This window comes from Homo sapiens, chromosome 19 (assembly GCF_000001405.40).
Source record: "Homo sapiens chromosome 19, GRCh38.p14 Primary Assembly".
NCBI lineage: Eukaryota > Metazoa > Chordata > Mammalia > Primates > Hominidae > Homo > Homo sapiens.
The window spans coordinates 52,822,759-52,837,278 of NC_000019.10; the positions used below are offsets into that span (position 1 = coordinate 52,822,759).

Sequence of the window (14,520 nt, forward strand, 5' to 3'; positions counted from 1 at the left end):
CTTTTTGACAAGTGTGAGTTTTACAACATGGAGGCAGGTGCCGTCTCTAGTGAGGCTGCTACAGTCCGACAGAAACTGACGTCAGCAGTAAATAATAAAATTTAGAATACATAATTAACTATAGAGTTTATTGGAACACAAAGCTTGAGGATAGCCACCTGGAAACGTCAACTCCAAATGAAGGGGGCCCGTGTTCCCAAGTAGAGACGTTAAGGTTTCACACACAGGGAAAGACAGAGAAGCTTTACCAGAATCACATTTTCCATTCAAGGCCAGTGCATAGGCTGCAGCAAATTGATTGGTTATGGATTGATACACTTCAAGGAAGGTTACTTTATCACTCCATAAGAAGGGACAATGATGCCAACAGGTTAGTCTTCCTAATTATTTACAGGTAAACTTTTTTTAAAATTTATATTAGGAAACTAAATTTTATTGCACTTTTTGTTTTGTTTTGTTTTGGTTTGGTTTTTGGTACGGAGTCTTGCTCTGTTGCCCAGGCTGGAGTGCAGTGGTGCAATCTTGGCTCACTGTGACCTCCATCTCCCGGGTTCAAGCAGCTCTCCTGCCTCAGCCTCCTGAGTAGCTGGGATTACAGGCACACGCCACCATGCCTGGCTAATGCTTTTGTATTTTCAGTAGACACGGGGTTTCACCATGTTGGCCAGGCTGGTTTCTAATTCCTGACCTCAAGTGATCCACCCACCTTAGCCTCCCAAAGTGCTGAGACTACAGGCGTGCGCCACCGCACCTGGCCAGTAAAACTCTTAGAAGTTGCGCCTGCACACCACTGGACTCAGGTTGCATGACCACGTTCCTCTCAAAGCTCAGAATTATTTAAATGTCCGTAGCTTTAAATTTGAAATATTTGATGTTTGAATTATTTAACTTCCTACTGAGATATAGGTACTATCGCCCTTGTAGTTTGCCTTACAAGGATCGTTCCCAAGACCTTCAGAAATACATCCTTGGGTCATTAAACTGAAAAAAGGCTTAGTTACTTTCTAAAAAATACCACTTCAGGCCAGGCGCGGTGGTTCAAGCCTGTAATCCCAGCGTTTTGGAAGGCCGAGGAGGACAGATGGCCTGAGGTCGGAAGTTGGAGACCGGCCTGACCAATATGGAGAAACCCCATCTCTCCTATAAATACAAAAATTAGCCTGGCCTGTTGGCATGTGCCTCTATTCCCAGCTACTCGGGAGGCTGAGGGAGGTGAATCGCTTGAGCCCAGGAGACACGGAGGTTGTGGTGAGCCAAGATCACGCCATTGCACTCCAGCCCAGGCAACAACAGTGAAACTCCGTCTCAAAAACAAAAAATAAATAATAATAATAATAATAATAATAAATATGGCCGGCGCAGTGGCTCATGCCTGAGTGAGACTCCGTCTCAAAACAAAATAAAACAAAACAAAACAAAAAACAAAAAAAACACATTACCAGTTCCACAGTAGGGTGTCCTCAAAAACAAAGGAAATGCCTCCTCTTTAAGTTTTTCTTACATAGGCATCCAGGTAAATACAAAGATATGTCTACCTGCCGGTTGGCTGACAGTCTAACACAACTTATTACTTTGTTGATTTAAAGCTATCCATGACTGGTCGCGGTGGCTCATGCCTGCAATCCCGGCACTTTGGGTGGCCGAGGTGGGCAGATCACCTGAGGTCAGGACTGTGAAACCAGCCTGGCCAACAGGGTAAAACCCCATCTCTACTAAAGATACAAAAATTAGCGAGGTGTGGTGGTGCGCGCCTGTAGTCCCAGATACTCAAGAGGATGAGACAGAAGAATCAATTGAACCTGGGAGGCAGAGGTTGCAGTGAGCTGAGATTGTGCCACTGCACTCCAGCCTGGGTGACATAGAGAGACTCCATCTCAAAAAAAAGAAATAACTAACTTTAAAGACGAAAATAAAGAAAAATCTGGAGAGGTCTCAGGAATCTCTAGCCAGTCTGATTGGAGAGTGTTCTTCCTCACTGAAGTCAGACACCAAAAACCGTGAAAGCTGGCTGATTTCTGAACTGCTGAAGTTCCAACAGAACATAACCAGATATACAAAGAGATAACGTGGATGATCCCAAGAAATTATACACAAATTTATAAAACAGAGACTTAGAAATAACGGGACTAAAAATTCAAAATAAGCCTGGGCAACATGTTGAAACCATGTTTCTACCAAAAATACAAAAATTAGCTGGACACGGTGGTGCACACCTGTAGTTCCAGCTACTTGGGAGGCTGAGATGGGAGGATTGCTTGAGCCTGAAATGCAGAGGCTGCAGGGCACATGGTGCTCTCTCATGTTCTCAGAGAGGGCGCTTTTACACCTGGGGGTAGGGATGGAATCTTCCCAGATCTAAGAAATGAGGAAATGCCACGTCCTAGAAGAAGCAATCAGTTTCTCAATAGCCCCTCCTGCAGGAACCCTCCAGATACATGTAGCGAAGTCAGCACACTCACAGGCAGCCAGTGTGGCATTCTTGGTAACAGTGACAAACTGGGAAGGACTCACGTGTCTTCATTCAGAAAATGCTCCAAGGAGAATGAAAAACAGTAAGCTATCTTGCTTCCTACCTTGAAAACATGGAATATTTTAAGACTTGCAGGATAAAATACCACAACAAAACATTTATCATGTTGAGCTCAGTGGCTCACGCATGTAATCCCAGTACTTGGGAGGCCGAGGAGGGAGGATCACTTGAGGCCAGGAGTCTAAGACCAGCCTGGCCAATATGGAGAAACTCCATCTCTACTAAAAATATAACAATTAGCCAAGCATGATGGCACATACCTGTAACACAGCTACTCAGTTGGCTGAGGCTAGAGAATCATTTGAACCCATGAAGCAGAGGTTGCAATGTGCTAGTAAGTTCCAGCCTGTTGACAGGGTGAGACACCGGTCTCACAAAACATACAAAACAAAAAACAACAACAAAAAAATCATTTGGCCGGGCACAGTGGCTCATGCCTGTAATCCCAGCACTTCGGGAGGCTGAGGGGGATGGATCACTAGAAGCCAGGAGTGCCAGACCACCCTGGCCAACATGGTGAAACTCCATCTCTATTAAAAATACAAAAAACTTATCCAGGCATAGTGGCACACACCTTTAGTCCCAGGTATTCAGGAGGCTGAGGCACAAGAATCACTTGAACCTGGAGGAAAGAGTCTGCAGTGAGGCAAGATTGCGCCACTGCGCTCCAGTCTGGGTGACAGGCACATTCATCAAATAATTTTATCTAAAATCTCATAATGGTGTCTGAATACATTTCTGTAGGACTTACGCTGACTTGCCACAGTACTCTCAGCAGTGATTCCCCATTGAGCCAAGGGAACTGGTGGAAGGCTGGACAGGAAAGGGGATGCCTAAGTGAACTTTCTTTGTCCGGGAGTGGTTGCTCAACGCCTGTAATCCTAGCACTTTGGGAGGCCGATTTCTTGTTTTAAAAGCAATAATAGAACAAATTATCCTCTACCACTGATGTTACCTCCACTTTCCATTCCATTCTAAGTCATTAAAAGTGCAGAGTCAAAACTGGGAATTGCGGCAAATGCTTGTAATCCCAGCATTTTGGGAGTCCAAGATGGATGGATCACCTGAGTTCAGAGGTCTGAGACCAGCCTGACCAATGTGGTGAAACCCTGTTTCTACTAAAAGTACAAAACTTAGCGCTGGGTGGGCTGGCTCACACCTGTAATCCCAGCACTTTGGGAGGATGAGGTGGAAAGATCATGAGGTCAGGATTTTGAAAGCAGCCTGGCCAACAAGGCAAAACCCCATCTCTACTAAAAATACAAATATTAGCTGGGTGTGATGGTGCATGCCTGTAGTCCCAGCTACTCAGAAGGTTGAGGTAGGAGAATTGCTTGAACCCGGGAGGCAGAGGTTGCAGTGAGCCGAGACCACACCAATGCACTCCAGCCTGGGTGACAGAATGAGGCTCCATCTCAAAAAACAAACAAACAAAAACTCAGCTGGGCCTGGTGGTGCACACCTGTAGTCCCAGCTACTTGGGAGGCTGAGCCAGGAGAACTGCTTGAACCCAGGAGGTGGAGGGTGCAGTGAGCTGACAGATATTGTGCCACTGCCATCCAGCCTGGCGACAGAGCAAGACTCCATTCTCACCCACCTAAAAAAGAAAAAAAAGTGCAGAGTCCAGCCAGGCTGGCTGTCTCATATCTGTTATCTCAGCAATTTGGGAGGCTGAAATGGGAGGCTGAAATGGGAAGATCACTTGAGGCCAGGAGCTCAAAGCTATAGTGAGCTTTGACTATACCACCGTACTCCTGCCTGGACAAAATAGCAAGATCCCATAGCCACATAATAAAAAATGAAAGACTTAGCCAGATATGGTGACACATGCCTGTCATCCTAGCTCCTTGGGAGGGTAATGTGTGGATCACTTGAGACCAGGAGTTCGAGGCTGCTATAAACTAGAATTGTACCATTGCACTCCAGACTGGGCCATAGAGCAAAACCCTGTCTCTAAAAACAAAAAAAAAAAAAGAAAAAAAGAAAATTGGCTTCAAATGCATTACAAAATCAGAAACAAAATATCTCCCTTTATTGGTCTCCTTTCCAGAATGCACAAGATATCAGTGCACATTAATGTATGGCTTTCATATGTAGTTTCTGGGATCCAGTCCACAAAGAGCTAAACGTGCATCCAAATGTGGTGCCTGAACAATCCCAGCTGCCCCGCAGCACTGACACCATGGGGCCCATACCCCATCTCCATCCATGTCTGGTGTGAGCCCTTCCCAAGACCATGCCCAGTGCAGCCTCTATGGAAATTCACGTCACTGAGTTATAGAAGAAGGATTTTTTTTTTTTTTTGAGATGGAGTCTTGCGGTGTCTGCTCACTGCAAGTTCCGCCTCCCAGGTTCATGCCATTTTTCTGCCTCAGCCTCCCGAGTAGCTGGGACTACAGGCACCCGCCACCACGCCTGGCTAATTTTTTTGTATTTTTAGTAGAGACAGGGTTTCACCATGTTAGCCAGGATGGTCTCGATCTCCTGACCTCATGATCCACCCGCCTCAGCCTCCCAAAGTGCTGGGATAACAGGCGTGAGCCACCGCGCCCGGCCTAGAAGATGGAATTTAAGCGAAGATGAGAGGGAATGACAGAAGGCATGGGTGAGTGCGAGCAAACGTGTCACGCAGGACGCTTCAGACTCAGAAAAGACTGGCTACTGTAATACCTGGCTTTTCAGAAAGAAAGGAGACAGGATAATCCACAAGGAATATCAAGTATATCCATGCAAAACAGGCACTTTGTGATTTTTTTTAATTTTCTGTATTTTTATTTTTTTGAGACAAAGTCTTGCTCTGTCACCCAGGCTGGAGTAAAATGGCGCGATCTCACCTAAATGCAACCTCCGCCTCCTGAGTTCCAGCAATTCTCCTGCCTCAGCCTCCTGAGTAGCTGGGATTACAGGCATGCTCCACCATGCATGGCTAATTGTTGCATTTTTAGTAGAGATAAGGTTTCACCATGTAGGCCAGGCTGGTCTCGAACTCCTGACCTCAAGTGATCCACCCACCTCAACCCCCCAAAGTCCTAGGATTACAGGCATGAGGCACTGCACCCGGTGGCACTTTGTGACATTAACAAGTGAAGTGCCATTTGAACCCGGGAGGCAGAAGTTGCGCTGAGCCGAGATCATGCAATTGCACTCCAGCCTGGGTAACAGGGAGAGACTTTCTCTCAAAAAAGAAAAGAAGAAATGACTAACAGTGTCAGAGGGCTCAATTACGATGTTACAACTACAGTTAAATAACAGCCAGGCCATACAGCAATTCTATATATACGCATTTCCCTTAGTTATCTAGTTCACCATGCATAAGATATAAAACATAGAATGTGTACTGGGAAAATTGATAAACTGGGATCAGAGAAAACATTGTATAAAACAAATTGTACAACAAAAACATTAAAAAAATGATGCAGGCTCCCTGGTCTGAATGTTTGTATTGGCCAAAAGCCATGTTCAGAGTTCTTATTCTCCAATAGGATGTTCCTGCAGATTCGGCCTTTCAGATAATTTGATCATGGGTGTTGACTACTCATGAATAAGACCAGTGCCTTTATTTTTATTTTTATTTCTTTATTTATTTTTTTGAGACGGGGTCTCCCCCTGTCACCCAGGCTGGAATGCTGTGGCAGGATCTCGGCTGAATGCAAGCTCTGCCTCCCAGATTCACGCCATTCTCCTGCCTCAGACTCCCGAGTAGCTGGGAACACAGGCGCCTGCCACCACGCCTGGCTAATTTTGTTTCTGTATTTTTAGTAGAGATGGGGTTTCACCATGCCAGCCAGGATGGTCTTCATCTCCTGACCTTGTGATTCACCCGCCTCGGCCTCCCAAAGTGCTGGGATCACAGGCGTGAGCCACCTCACTCAGCCTTATTTTTATTTTTTTCTTTTTTTATTTTATTTTATTTTATTTTATTTTATTTTATTTTATTTTATTTTACTTTAAGTTTTAGGGTACATGTGCACATTGTGCAGGTTAGTTACATATGTATACATGTGCCATGCTGGTGCGCTGCACCCACTAACTCGTCATCTAGCATTAGGTATCTCTCCCAATGCTATCCCTCCCCCCTCCCCCCTATTTTTTTCTTTATTTTTGAGAAAGAGTTTCACTCTTATTGCCCAGGCTAGAGTGCAATGGCCTGATCTTGGCTCACTGTAACCTCTGCCTCCTGGGTTCAAGTGATTCTCCTGTCTCAGCCTCCTGTGTAGCTGGGATTTCAGGCATGTGCCACCACACTCAGCTAATTTTGTATTTGTAGTAGAGATGGGGTTTTACCATGTTGGCCAGGCTGGTCTCGAACTCCTGACCTCAGGTGATCTGCCCGTCTCGGCCGCCCAAAGTACTGGGATTACAGGCTTGAGCCACCGCACCCGGCCATCCATTGTTTTGTGTTCAGTAGATTCGAGGATTCACCATGTTGGACTGACTGGTCTCAAACTCCTCGCCTCAAGCGATCTACCCCCCTCAGCCTCCCAAAGTGCTGGGATTAGAGGTGTGAGCCACCATGGCCAGCCAGTCTAAGCTGTTTCTGACAGGACAGTGAAATGACGGAGACAGGAAAAGGAGCATGTCATCATCAACATCGCTGAAGGCTGACAACTCTTATTACACAAAGGCAGTTTACAGCCTGTCATATAAAAGCTGCAATGTGTGAAGCCATCTAATAGCACTAACTTGTTTAAAAACCTGGAGGCAGCTGGGAACGGTGGCTCATGCTTGTAATCCCAACACTTTGGAAGACCGCAGTGGGTGGATCACCTGAAGTTGGGAGTTTGAGAGCAGTCTGACTGACATGGAAAAACCCCGTCTCTACTTCAAATACAAAATTAGCTGGGTGTGTTGGTGCATGCCTGTAATCCCAGCTACTTGGGAGCCTCAGGCAGGAGAATAGCTTGAACCTGCGGGCAGAGGCTGGAGTGAGCTGAGGTTGCACCACTGCAGTCCAGCGTGGGCAACAAGAGCGAAACTCCATCTCAAAAAACAAACAAACAAAAAATCTGGAGAAAAATTAACATTATTTCTCAAATAAGTTCTCAAATAAGTACAGCAGGCCCACAGTGTTCACGTACATGACCCCAATTTGCACATACAGTAAGTGAGGGACAAACTTGATCCTGGGCCTGAAGGATCCCACGACATGTTTCTAAGCACAATAGTCCACCAAGAAAGTACAGAAAACAACCAGTCACAAAAAATACAAGGAGAACAGAAAGAAGTACATCAAGGGGGATACAAGGACTGAGCTGGGACACAAGCGCTGAGCTGCGCTGCTGACAGTGGTTCTGAAGCCATCCCTCATGGATCATGTGCTGAGTCATGATGCCCTGCACACACTGATTTAAGCAGCCTCCTATAATTTTGTCCAGTGGATGAATAAGGTCTTGACTTACTCAGGGAGAGTAGTGTTGGAGGGGAGGGGCTCACGGGGAAATTGGGGTGTTCACTTTTACAAAGTCAATAGGCTGGTATTTGCATCCAGATCAATGTATCATGTGAGGCAAGGCCAGGAAAGGAAGGGCAAGGGTGGAGAGCAGGAAGTAATGGGCATGTAGGAGTGAACTTTGTGCATGCACATCTGTGGGAATATAATTCCACCAGGATAGACCAAATCTTGAGCTCGGAGGAAAGTGGAACTAATTTAGCAAATGGTAAAACATTGACCCAAGCTTAAATATGCAAATTACAATACAGGCAAGGGACAAGAATGAACGAGATCCAAAAAAGCAGCAGTATGGTGACCTGAGGTGAAAGCAGTTTTACGTCTCTTAAATTAAATGGCCTCTGATACCTAGTTTCAAGCATATACTCAACAATATGCCTTGTATAGATTCCAGAATTTCATACACACACACAAAATGAGTAAAGTCTACGAGGAGTGCAGCAATGAAGGAGACCATGGATGTGAAGAATTCCCTGGCTGAGTAGGTAGAGATGTGTCTGTGGAAACAGAGACAGACTGAGCGCAGTGGCTCATGCCTGTAATAACAATCATAATAATAATGACAGGTTTTTTCTGTTTTCTCTTTTTTTGAGATGGAGTGTCACTCTATTGCTCAGGCTGGAGTGCAGTGGTGTGATCTCGGCTCACTGCAACCCCTGCCACCCAGGTTTAAGCAATTCTCTTGCCTCAGCCTCCCGAGTAGCTGGGATAACAGGCGCCTGCCACCAGGCCTGGCTAAAAGTTTGTATTTATTTTTGTTTTTTTGTTTTTTTGTTTTTTTTTGAGACAGAGTCTTGGTCTGTCTCCCAGGCTGGAGTGCAATGGTGCGATCTCGGCTCACTGCAAGCTCCACCTCCCAGATTCACGCCACTCTCCTGCCTCAGCCTCCCAAGTAGCTGGGACTACAGGTGCCCGCCACCACGCCCAGCTAATTTTTTTTGTATTTTTATTAGAGATGGGGTTTCACCGTGTTAGCCAGGATGGTCTCGATCTCCCGACCTCATGATCTGCCCACCTCGGCCTCCCAAAGTGCTGGGATTACAGGCATGTGCCACTGCTCCCATCCTAAATTTTGTATTTTTAGTAGATACAGGGTTTCCCCATTTTGGTCAGGCTGGTCTTGAACTCCTGAGCACCCGACTCAGCCTCCCAAAGTGCTGGGATTACAGGCATAAGCCACCATGCCCAGCCCCTTCTTACTATTAACTCATTATTGTGATAGTTGACAACAATGAAAAATCTTAAAATCATTACAATTATTATAAAAAATAAAACAATGCAAATGTTGTGTTTTCTACATAAACCATGGGCTTATCCATCCACGTATTCATGCACACACATCACATCACAGTGTAATCCCAGCTACTCGAGAGGCTCAGGCAAAAGAATCGCTGTAATCCAGGAAGCGGAGGCTACAGTGAGAAAATATCTCACTACTGCACTCCAGCCTGAGTGACAGATTGAAACTGAACTAACAAAAAAATAAGTAAAATCAATGATGTGATAAAGCATCCTGTACCACTGATGTGTATCTTCACTTTCCATTCCTTTCCGAGTCATTAAAACTGCAGAGACAGGCCGGGCACGGTGGCTCAGGCTTGTAATCCCAGCACTTTGGGAGGCTAAGGTGAAAAAACACAAGGTCAGGAGTTCCTGACCAGCCTGACCAATATGGTGAAATCTCATCTCTACTAAGAATACAGAAAAATTAGTCAGGCAAGGTGGCACATGCCTGTAATCCCAGCCACTCGGGAGGCTAAGGCAGAAGAATTGCTTGAACCCAGGAGGCAGATGTTGCAGTCAGCTGAGATCCCATCACTGCACTCCAGCTTGGGCAATAGAGCGAGACTCCATCTCAAAATAAATAAATAAATAAAACAATTAGCCGCTTGTGGTGACACATGCCTATCATTCAAGCTCTTTGGGAGGCTGAAGTGGGGATTACTTGAGCCAAGGAGTTTCAGGCTGCTGTAAACTCTAAATTGTGCCATTGTACTCCAGAACTAAGCTACAGAGCGACATTTTCTCTCTCTCTCTCCTTTTTTTTCTTTTGAGATGGAGTCTTGCCCTGTTGCCTAGGCTGGAGTGCAGTGGCACAATCTTGGCTTACTGTAACCTCCACCTCCCGGATTCAAGTGATTCTCCTGCCTCAGCCTCCTGAGTGGCTGAGATTACAGGCATGAGCCACGACTTCCAGCTAATTTTTGTATTTTTATTAGAGATGAGGTTTTACCACATGGGCCAGGCTGGTCTCAAACTCCTGACCTCAAGTGATCCACCTGCCTTGGCTCCCAAAGTGCTGGGATTACAGGCATAAGCCACCACACCCAGACCAACATCCTGTCTACTAGTGTGCCTTCAAATGCATTAAGAAATTGGATACAAAATGTCTCCCCTTATTGGTCTCCTTTTCCAGAATTTACCAGATATCTGTGCACATTAATGTATGTATTTCATATGTAGTTTCTCTGATCTGGTCCACGAAGAGCTGACATCCAGACATGACCCTTGAACAATCCAGGTTGCCCAGCAGCACTGACACCATGGGGCCCACACCCTGTGTCCATCCATGTCTAGGTGTGAGGCCTTCCCAGGACCATGCCCAGTGGAACCTCTTCTCAAGTTCATGTCACTGGGTCACAGGAGATGGAATCTCAGAGCAGGTGAGAGGAACTGAGGGCAGGCATGGGTGAGTGTGAGTGAACCTGTCAGGCAAAATGCTTCAGACTCAGAAATGACTGGCTACTAAATACCTGGTGTTTCAGAAAGGAAAGAGACAGATTAATCCAAAGAGGAATATCACTTCACCTGAGGAAGAGCCATGCCTGGCTCCTTTCCTTTCCTCTTCTGAGCTGCTTCCTCATGTAACATGAGTCTTTAGAAATCAATCCTGTACGTGAAAAAAGTATGAAACTTCACGTAGAAATGACTCACTCCCTTCCTGTGACAAAAACACACAGACAGGGGAGATGTCACCCTGTAGAAAGATGGTCCTCTGAGGCCCACTGCACCAGAGATCATGCAGAGATAAGAAAGTCCCACCGGAAGACCTACAAGTGTATGTTTGACCCCAGTCTTCAGATCTCGCCCCCCTCCTGGAGAAGCCACCACACACGAGGCAGCAGTGGGGAGCTGGGCTGGACTGATCTCCTCTTCAGGGCACACACTCATCCCTGATCAAACCCCATCCAGAGGACAACCCCTCACTTCTCTGTGGATCACAGGCTGAGCTCAGCCCCCAGAAATGGAGGACTCAGAGCTTCGATGCTCAATGCTGCACACAGATGACAAGCAACTGCGCCACTGCAGGTATTACTGAGGGTGGGTTCCATCCCATCAGAATAAGAATCCCTGCTAAAGCAGCACAAAAGCTCTATTTGCAAAATGCCTCTAGACTCTAATGTGAAGCCAGGGTTGAGCTCCACTCAGAGGGGGTGAGCCCAGCACAGCCCCACATTCTGGCTCTGCCCTCCCCTTGGGGCCTTGTTCTCACCAGGATCCAGACAGTGGATGACAAAGGCACAAAAATAATCACACAGAACAGGCAACGTGGACGAGAGGTGGGGTGAATGATGGGCTGTGTGAAAGGAAATAAATCTGTGAGCCCCCAAATCATTAAGCAAAAGGCAAAAGTCAAGCTGGGAACTGCTTAGGGAACCAGACTCCCCTTCTATTCAAAGTCACCCCTCTGCTCCCTGATATAGATGCATGTCTGAGTGCCTCCTTCAAAAGGCTAATCAGAAACTCAAAAGAAGGGCCCAGCACAGTGGCTCATGCCTGTAATCCCAGCACTGTGGGAGGCTGATGCAGTGAGCTGAGATCATACCACTGCACTCCAGCCTGGGCAACAAAATGAGACTTCATCTCAAAAAAACAAAACAAAACAAAACAAAAACTTAAAAGATTGCAACCATCTGTGCCTCATTTATCTGTGACCTGGAAGTCACCTCCCTGCTTGAACCTGGGAGAAGGAGGTTGCAGTGAATCGAGATCTATAGGGTCCAGCCCTTTGGGGCTTAGTGGGTGTTCTCCCCATGTGCAGAGACAAGAGATTGTAATAAATAAAGACAGAAGACAAAGAGATAAAGAGAAAACAGCTGGGCCCGGGGGACCACTACCATCAAGACGTGGAGACCAGCAGTGGCCCCAAATGGCTGGGCGCGCCGATATTTATTGCATACAAGACAAGGGGGCAGGGTAAGGAGGGTGAATCTTCTAAGTGATTGATAAGGTGAAGCAAATCATGTGATCACAGGACAGGGGGCCCTTCCCTCTTAGGTAGCCGAAGCAGAGAGAGAAGGCAGCATACGTCAGCGTTTTCTTCTATGCACTTATAAGAAAGATCAAAGACTTCAAGACTTTCACTATTCCTTCTACCGCTATCTACTACGAACTTCAAAGAGGAGCCAGGAGTACGGGAGGAGCATGAAAGTGGACAAGGAGCATGACCATTGAAGCACAGCACCACAGGGAGGGGTTTAGGCCTCCGGATGACTGCGGGCAGGCCTGGATACTATCCAGCCTTCCACGAGAAGCTGGTGGAGCAGAGTGTTCCCTGACTCCTCCAAGGAAAGGAGACCCCCTTTCGTGGTCAGCTAAGTAACAGGTGCCTTCCCAGACACTGGCGTTACCGCTTGACCAAGGACCCCTCAAGCGGCCCTTATGCGGGCGTGACAGAGGCCTCACCTCTTGCCTTCTAGGTCACTTCTCACCATGTCCCTTCAGCACCTGACCCTATACCTGCCGGTTATTCCTAGGTTATATTAGTAATGCAACAAAGAGTAATATTAAAAGCTAATGATTAATAATGTTTATAATAATGATTGATAATTGTCCATGATCATCTCTATATCTAATTTGTATTATGACTATTCTTATTCTAACTATTTTCTCTATTATACTGAAACAGTTTGTGCCTTCAGTCTCTTGCCTCAGCAGCTGGGTGATCCTCCACCCACAGAGATAAAGCCCTGCACTACAGCCTGGGCGAGAAGAGCCAAACTCCAACACACACACAAAGAAAGAATTTCAGAAGTGATGTATCTTCTCAGTCCTTTCATGTATACATGCAAATTTCTCTTTACATTACAAATTACAACACTTACAAATAAAGTAATTTATTTCCCATATTTAAAATACATGCTGTCAAGTTCGGCTAAGTTTCCGGACGTACACAGTCACCCTCATCTGAGATGTGCAGACTGCAAGGGAATGTGTTTGGGGGTTTAGGAAGTCACTTTTGGACATGTGAAGGTGGAGATGCCTGTTTGATGTCCCAGCAGAGAGGTGAGCAGACAACTGCACACAGGATTGTAGAGCTCAGTGGAGAGGCCTGCAGGGGACATGGGTAGGTGGGTTAAAGCTGTGAGATGAGATAAGGAAAAGCAGTGGGTGTGGACAGAGACAAGAATAGGTTCAAGACAATTTGAGTCAAATCTCTTGTTTTTTCCATTCCGGTATTTTTGTTTTTTACATTTTTGTAGGACAGGAATCTATTAAAAATTCAAATTACACCTGAGCATCACCCTCTCCTAAAGGAAAAGCCACAAACTATTTGACAAAGTATTTCAGGGGTCAGTGTCACTCTGACTGAGCTTTTCTGGTCTCATTCCTCACCTGTACATTACTGGTTGAGTCACTGTTGTTTCGAGCAGGAGATACTTCACCAAAAGTACAAAAAATTAGCCAGGCGTGGTGGTGTGCATCTGTGGTCTCAGCCATTTAAGAACTGACTGGGGTGGATATTTGGGCCTGGGAGGCAGAGGTTGCGTTAAGCCAAGATCGTGTCACTGCATGCAAGTATGGGTGACCGAGTGACACCCTGTCTCAAAAAAAGAAAGAAAAAAAAACATTCCAGGACAATTTTATACACCTGAGCAAATGAAATGTCTCTTTCAATGTCTAAGGTCCTGATGGCATGAATCCTAAACATGTAATTATTTTCCCAGAAAAATGACAGTAGTACATTCAAAATACACACAACTGTGAACCCCTAGCTATAGGTGTTTAAAACACTGAAAGAGAAGCAGCATTACAAATGAGATCTGAACAAATGTTTTCTTCTTGAACACACGGGCTTTGCTGGAACAAGGTTCCAAGTCAATTCTGCCCATCCTTGAACATCTGCAAAAAATATTATGGACCAGAGGAACTTGAGGGGAACGTTTACTTAGCAGCTCACAGCTCACCATTTTATCAGGTGACATAAAGAAAGAAAATGGAATAATAGGCTACTTCAACTAAATTTTGATGTTAGCATAAAGAAAAAGTTCCTTGATATCTTTATCAAGTACACATTGAAACAAACTAAAATCATTTATCAGGTACCAGAAAATGTTTCCAATGTATGATACAGACTAGAAAGCATGCCGTCCTCAATGTAAACTGAACACAATAAATTTCAGAGAAAAACAGTTTTAAAATGGTTAAAAAATATATCTAATGAAATGTGGGGTCATAGAAGAATATTTTGAACACATATTATAGTTGCAAAACAATGATGTTACCTCATAAGATTATATCAAAGCTTTTTTGAGAAGCA

At 45.5% G+C, this 14,520-nt stretch overlaps 1 protein-coding gene across 1 annotated transcript in view; it reads right to left on the bottom strand.

Moving 5' to 3' along the window:
* ZNF600 (zinc finger protein 600) overlaps positions 1-10,887 on the bottom strand; it is a 69,482-nt gene extending 58,595 nt beyond the window's left edge. The window contains exon 1 of the mRNA XM_047438291.1: positions 10,788-10,887. Coding sequence (XP_047294247.1) covers positions 10,788-10,850 — 63 coding nt within the window. The 5' untranslated portion in view covers positions 10,851-10,887. The remainder of the gene's footprint in view (positions 1-10,787) is intronic.
* Between the last annotated feature and the right edge of the window lie 3,633 nt (positions 10,888-14,520).